The 7,689-nt window shown below is 43.7% G+C and overlaps 1 annotated feature.

The window, feature by feature from the left end:
• Positions 3,930–4,488: an enhancer, noted in NCBI's record as "OCT4-NANOG hESC enhancer chr21:19275561-19276119 (GRCh37/hg19 assembly coordinates)". NCBI's record gives its function as "activates a minimal SCP1, AML or CMV promoter by ChIP-STARR-seq in primed H9 embryonic stem cells {active_cell/tissue: H9 hESC(primed)}" and the evidence as "EXISTENCE:reporter gene assay evidence [ECO:0000049][PMID:30033119]".

Raw genomic sequence — 7,689 nt, 5'->3', positions numbered from 1 at the left:
ACGGTGTTAGCCAGGATGGGCTCGATCTCCTGACCTCGTGATCCGCCCACCTCGACCTCCCAAAGTGCTGGGATCAGAGGCATGAGCCACTGTGCCCAGCCGGGTTATTATTTTAAAGACAATATCTTCGAATTTTTTTAAGAAGTAGATACATTTAGGTCTGATTTCCTTGAATATGAATGGATGTGTTTTATTCTTCTCTCCAATAGGATGTTAAATTAAATGATGCTGGGATCAGTGTTTCTGATGGCCCGATCTCAAAAAAAAGAGCATTCTCTTTGGATACATTTTCCAAAACTTTAAGATATGCAAAACCACCAGCAAATTTTATTCAGACAAGAAACGACCCTGCTTTACACACAGGGCAGGAACTGGTGCTGGGACTTCCATTCTGGCTATGAATAGAAGAAGCCTGGGCCAGCAAAAAAACTGACACTGAGAACGGAGGCGTGCAGCAAGGATAGTCTCATAAACAAAAAGGGAAGCAACAGAAAGGAAATCTGTAAAAACTCCCTGAGGCCTTTGATCACAGAACACCGTGTAGATGCTCCAAGGGCTCATTTAAGACATTGGCTAGTTACTATGTGACTTGAAGCAGCTCACGCCACCACTCTGAGCCTGCTTTTTCATCTGCAAAAAAAAAACCAGTATATCAACAACTAGTTTTGGGCATTCTTATAGGACTACGTTAAGTGCTTGGTAAAATGTAAGGGTATGTGATTACAGCAATATATTCATTTTAACAAAATTTCACAGTAAAATAATTTGGATGTTTTCTAGATTGTTTTTTTTTTTGGCATTTTACAGTGAAAACCGATAAACCCAGCAGCCAGCACTTTATTATCCAAGGACAAAACTTTGTGCATACCTTTAGGTTATCTAATACCTGGTACTAAAAGAAAAAAGCAAATAAAACCAACTTACAGATTGCATCTAGAACAGACGTTATACAATATCCATTTATGTCAATAAAGATATTGAAGTATAAAAAAAAAATTTTTTTTTTTTGAGACAGAGTCTCGCTGTGTCACCCAGGCTGGAGTGCAGTGGCACAATCTCAGCTCACTGCAACCTCTCCCTCCCAGGTTCAAGCAATTCTCCTGCCTCAGCCTCCGGATTAGCTGGGATTACAGGCACCTGCCACCACGCCCAAGTAATATATATACATATATGTATTTTTTTTCTTTTTTTTTCTTTTTTTTGTATTTTACTAGAGACAAGGTTTCACCGTGTTGGCCAGGCTGGTCTCGAACTCCTGACTCAAGTGATCTGCCCACCTCGGCCTCCCAGAGTGCTGGGATTACGGGCATGAGCCACCGTACCCGACCTAAAAAATATTATTTGTAAATTGACTAGACTGTAACTTCTAGGAAGTGTAAAAAATATTACTTTTAAATTGCCTTGAGTGTAACTTCTAACCCATATTTCTAAAAATTCACAGAAGTATTCAAACGCCACATTGGTGGAAGATGTAAGAAGGGGACTTTTATAGTTTGCTGTTCTGCCTTTGCTTTCCCATCTCAGATCTTCAGTAGGGTAGTTACAGCAACCTCTTATAAGAAAGTGCCATACCTAATAAAGATATCAGAGAGGTCATAGAGCAATCAAGAGTCAGGAACTGAGTTTCCAAACCCTTTTTCTCTGTCCTTTAGGTAGCTTCACTTCACTCTAACTCTCAATTGTTTGTTGGAATCATACTCCGTGGATTTTGCTACCTAACGTTGACAGAAAACATTAAAACTCCAGGCAATCCATCCCCAGTTCATCAGCTCTCACCTTGGGAGCACTGCTCAGGGAGGGTACAAAGACAGTCATTTCATTCCTCTCACTACAGCCACGTTTTCTGTCCTCCTCGCTGCCTTCCACCGTCTGTACTAATACTACTCTTATTCAGCCCCCAAGTGTTATTTCCAGGGATTTCCTCAAATCACAAGTCTTTATACAATATTTGGAATTTCATGTGATTCCAATGCAGGAAAAGTGCAATCTCCTGCCATTTCTATCACACTGTCTGGAAACCTCCCCTCCCACGTATTTACCTTAATGAAAAGAGGAAAATGGAAGAAAACATATCTTTTCCCATAAAAAAAAATCCCCTTTATTAATCAACCAAAAAATGCTACTTCATGACTCCTTTTTTTTTTTGTAGAGAGAGGGTCTCACTATGTTACCCAGGCTGGTCTGTAACACCTGGGCTCAAGCCATCCTCCTGCCTTTGGCCTCCCAAAGTGCTGGGATTACAGGCGAGAGCCTTCGCACCTGGCTGGCCTCCTTTATGGTATTTTTACATACTCCCTCTCTTCACTCTTCAGCCGTAACTTCTTTCTCCTGGCTTAACCACCTACCAGAGAGACCTTCCCCAACAACTCATGCAGATTTCCCTCTAGACAGCTCCATTACTCTATCGCACCACTGTTCTACTCTTTCTTAATTCTTATCCTAATATAAATTTTAAATATTCATCATTTATTTTTAATGCTTTTTGTTTATAATCCTACAAGACATATTGAGCTCCACAAGGATCTTTTTGCCGTACTCACCCCTGCATTTCAGTTCCTTGCTCACTGCCTGACACATAATACTGTAAAGAACTGGGAAGGGACTGAATTTTGCCCTACTCACAAGCCAATAAGTTTGCCTGCTACAGTTTCATTGATGCCAGTAGAAGACAGGAGACTCAGGGTCAGAGAAGAAGAACAGCTTATTAATCACAACAATAGCAACAGCCAGGATTTTGGCATTTTGGGGACAGTATCTCGAGGCCCAAGTCTACAGGGTGACACAAAAGAACCGAAAGATACCTGAATACATAGTGGGTTGTGATACAGGAGAGGAATGCTGAGTTTAGGGGATGCAAAAATTTTATAATGGGCAGCAAGCATGTCTGCCCTTTGCTCCAAAGGGAGACCCAATCCCTAGCTTCCAAGGCCATTCACTGTATGAACATCACTGAAAAGATTTTCTGGGACAAAGGGTAATCTGTGTCTTTCTTATAAGGTATGCAGAAACATAAGAAACCCATGGAAAATTATCTCCTAACAAGTAGAGAATCAAAAAATAATATTTTTTATTTAATGAATAAATGAACTAGAACACCAATCTAGCACAGGTAGTGAAACTATTTTTTAAAAAAGAAAGAAAACCTTCTTTTGTTACTGAAGAGATGTCCTTACCCAGTGGAATGCTGGCAACTGTTTAACATTCAGCTCTTGGGGATAGAGGAGAGCTGATTTGATTTGTAGCATTTTTCAGTTTTCTTGGCAAAAGTATTCACACTGTAACCAACAAGAAGTTACTGATATCTCGGAATGCAGAGCTGGGGAGAGATGCTGGACAACACATCATTGTGGAATATTCCCACCATATGAATGCAAAACGTAAATCATCTCAAAAGGTGACTTTACTAAATAGTAAAATACTTAGGAAGCGGTGAGTCTTGAGTACATATTAGTTTAGTTTTAAAGACAGTTTACTTCATTGTAAGTTTATACGACTAATTTTTTCGAGACAGGGCCTTGCTCTTTTGCCCAGGCTGGAGTGTAGTGGTGCAATCATAGCTCACTGCAGCCTGAACTCCTGGGCTCACGTGATCCTCCCACCTCAGCTTCCCAAGCAGCTGAGACTGCAGGCGTGCACTACCATGCCCAGCTAATTTATTTTTCGTTTTATTTTTTGTAGAGACGGGGGCCTCACTATGTTGTCCAGGCTGGTCTCAAACTCCTGACCTCAGGCAATCATCCCACTTTGGCCTTCCAAAGCTCTGGGATTACAGGTGTGAGGCACTTTGGCCGGCCTTGACTTAGTTTTTAATAATGTCTGTGTTTAATAAGTGGCTCACAAAATTCTTGAAAATTTAACAATTGGCTCTTGTGAGCGGGCACAGGACACTCTTTACCACTGTTCTTCACTCCTCTCTGCCTGTCTTTAGTGTCACTCTTGTCCCTTCAGTCCCATATGTATTTTATTTCCAGATCTTTCATTTCTTTAGAACTCAGCTACTTCTGTTCCTCCGGGCTATGCTCTGCCTCATTCCCTTTCACTACACCCCCAAGCCTCACCCCATTCCTGGAAAGCTTTCGATTCTGTCCTTCACCATCCTCCCACCCCCACCTCCCAATACACACACCCCATGGCAGGCCATAGAAGCACCCCCAGGGATGGGATCCAGGAAATTCCACTTCGCCTTCCTCAGTAATCAAGGCCACAGCAGGGAAGATGGCTAACTGTGTTCCCAAGTGATCACTTTCAATGGATTTCCTCATGAAATCATTGCAACTACCTACTTGTTAGGCTCTACACTATTTTTTGTGCCATATTTTAAGTACCATTTATTATAATAGGGATTTACAAGCAGATCTGAGATACTAACCTCTCTTCTGATGTGAAAAATGCATTCCAATTTCTAAACTGAGAAAGCAACTTTGGGAACATACACAAATGAGAAACTGCTTAATATATGGAATTTGATATATAATTGTATAATGTTTATTTATTGAACTATATCCACCAGAGGGCAGCAAAAAATTTTATATGGGACATGTATTTACTCAATACAGAATTAAGAGCAAACCTCCATCATTACTTGATGATAAACAGGAAACCATTCGAGTCCCAATAAAGGCTTTCAATATTATGGAGAAATATGATCACAAGGCTAAAATTTATTTTTTACTTTAAAGCCTCAATACTAACTTTCATATTAGGTTAATCTCCAGTTAGTTACTCATTGATCCGTTTAATATATATTATTTAAACACTTCTCATATTCAAAGCATTGTGCTAGTAATGACCACAGTGAGGCATGATTCGAGGAATACAAAAACAACTGCCTGCCTGTGCAGTTGTTTATATATCAGTCAGGATTCTCCAGAGACATAGAAGCATTTGGATGTGTGTGTGTGAGTGTGTACATTAAAAGATTTATTCTAAGGAATTGGCTCATGAAATTATGCGGGCTGGCAAGTCTGAAACTTGTAGAGACAGACAAGCAGGCTGGAAATGCAGTCAGGAGAGGATGCTATGGTCTTCAGGCAGATTTTCTTTTCAGTGAAACCTGTTTTTTGCTCTGAAGGACTTCATCTGTTGGGATGAGGCCCACCCACATTATGAAAGTTAGTATCTTTTACTTAAAATCAACCGACCGTAGATGTTAATTGCATCTACGAAATACCTTCACAGTGACACCTGGATTGGTGTTTGGTTACGTAACTGAGTACTACAGCCCAGACAAGTTGACACATAAAATTAAACACTCCAGGCTGGGCGCGGTGGCTCACGCCTTTAATCCCAGCACTTTGGGAGGCCGAGGCGGGCGGATCACGAGGTCAGGAGATTGAGACCATCCCGGCTGACACGGTGAAACCCCGTCTCTACTAAAAATACAAAAAATTAGCCGGGCGTGGTGGCGGGCGCCTGTAGTCCCAGCTACTCCGGAGGCTGAGGCAGGAGAATGGCGTGAACCCGGGAGGCGGAGCTTGCAGTGAGCCGAGATCGCGCCACTGCGCTCCAGCCTGGGAGACAGAGCGAGACTCCGCCTCAAAAAAAAAACAAAACAAAACAAAACAAAAAAACAAAAAAAAAAAACAAAAAAAAATTAACTACTCCACTGCTCAGAAACATTTTCCCTGTCCAGATGCTGTATCCTAGAAATGCCGCACTTGGAAAAACATGCTCTGAGTCATGAATTGATCTTTCCAGATAACGTCTCTAAAATGCATACATCCTTGGTAGGTTAATATACCTACCTAGACACCAAGGCGTGAGTGCCAGGTTATCACATACATTTCTCCAGACAAAAGAGAATCTGTGGCATCCTGAAAGCAATGAGTAGCAAGAGATTCTAAATGCTGAAAGCTGCGAGTCACCACCAAGAGGCAAGCAGGCTGGAAACCACCCATTTCCTCATTTTACATAAAATTCCGCTGCCCAAAAGTACAATCATTTATGCTTGTTGTAAAAAACTACAATGTTGTTATTGCTGTTCGAAATTGCATCTACTGAGAAAATGAGGAGCTCATGGCAGAAGGGAGGCAGGACTAGGCTGTAGCTTTGACTCCGACAGAGCAGCATGCTGAGGCTGGCACTGTGAATTTTAGCCCCAGATCGACTACAAGAACAAACCAGAAATACCGAGAGGACCCACAGCCCCTCTGAAGGAAGCCGACTGCTCCTGCAGGACCTGGGAGATGCCTCAAATACTGTGAGTGCCCCAACTGCAAAAGTGGGAAAGGGAGACCCTCCTCTCCCAAACACACACCCCCACTGGAGAAACTGAAGGTCTGTTTGTGGGAGAAGTTTCCAACCTTACCTGGAGCTGAGTCAATTTAGAGAGCCAAGCAAAACACAGGGATAGAGGAAGCAGCAGGAAAGGCCTTGGGAGCTCGCTGGGTCCCCAAGCAGGCCATTCCTGCCTGGGACCACAGAGATCCATCAGGAAGGCAGCCAGAGGAGCGGGGGAAAAACACCACAGGGAGAAGGAAATCTCCAGCTGAATTTTTTAACAATTGGAACCATGTGAGAAGCCTCCTGGCCAGAACTGGGGGGAGGGCATGAATCCCGTGCGCACACTCCCACAGGTGGGGGAAGAACCAAGCCCTTTTCGTTCCCAGCTGGGAGGTGGGTAGCCTGGGGCAAGTTCTCAAGCTCAGCTTACCCACCACCTGGAAACAGACTCAAGGCTGTTTGGGGGGCAATGGTGGGAGTGAGACTGACCCTTCAGTTTGCATGGGAGGTGGGTGAGGCCTGTGACTGCCAGCTTTCCCCGACTTCCCTGACAACCTGCATGACTCAGCAGAGGCAGCCATAATCCTCCTAGGTACACAACCCCATTGACTTGGGAATGTCATGCCCATCCCCCACAGCAGCTGCAGCAAGACCCACACAAAGAGAGTCTGAACTCAGACACCCCCTAGCCCCACCCCAACCTGATGGCCCTTCCCTACCCACCCTGGTAGCAGAAGACAAAGGAGATATAATCTTGGGAGTTCTGGGGCCGCACCCACTGCCGGTTCCTCTCCACACTACCACAGCTGATGCTCTCTGGAAAGCGCCACCTCCTGGCAGGAGGCCAACCAGCACAAAAATAGACCATTAAACCACCAAGGCTAAGAACCCTCACAGAGTCCATTTCACACCCCTGCCACCTCCACTGGAAACAGGTGCTGGGATCCACGGCTGAGAGACCCATAAACAGTTCACATCGCAGGACTCTGTGCAGACAACCCCCTGTACCAGACTGGAGCCCTGTAGACTCACTGGCTGGCTAGACACAAAAGAAAGACAGCAATCATTGCAGATTGGCTCACAGGAAGCCACATGCATAGGAAAAGGCGGAGAGTACTACATCGAGGGAACACCTTGTGGGACAAAAGAATCTGAACAACAGCCTTCAGCCCTAGATCTTCCCTCTGACAGAGGCTACCCAAAAGAGAAGAAACCAGAAAATCAACTCTGGTAATATGACAAAACAAGGCTCTTTAACACCCCTAAAAAATCACATTAGTTTACCAGCAATGGATCCCAACCAAGAAGAAATCCCTGATTTACATGAAAAAGAATTCAGGAGATCAGTTATTAAGCTAATCAGGGAGGCACCAGAGAAAGGGAAAGACCAATGCAAGGAAATCCAAAAACTGATAAAAGAAGTTGTCAGGCCTCTGAGCCCAAGCTAAGCCATCATATCCCCTTTGA

The sequence above is a fragment of the Homo sapiens genome, chromosome 21, assembly GCF_000001405.40.
Source record: "Homo sapiens chromosome 21, GRCh38.p14 Primary Assembly".
Taxonomy (NCBI): Eukaryota; Metazoa; Chordata; class Mammalia; order Primates; family Hominidae; genus Homo; species Homo sapiens.
The sequence above is the reverse complement of the archived record's forward strand: the minus strand, read 5'-3'. Positions and strand labels throughout refer to the sequence as shown.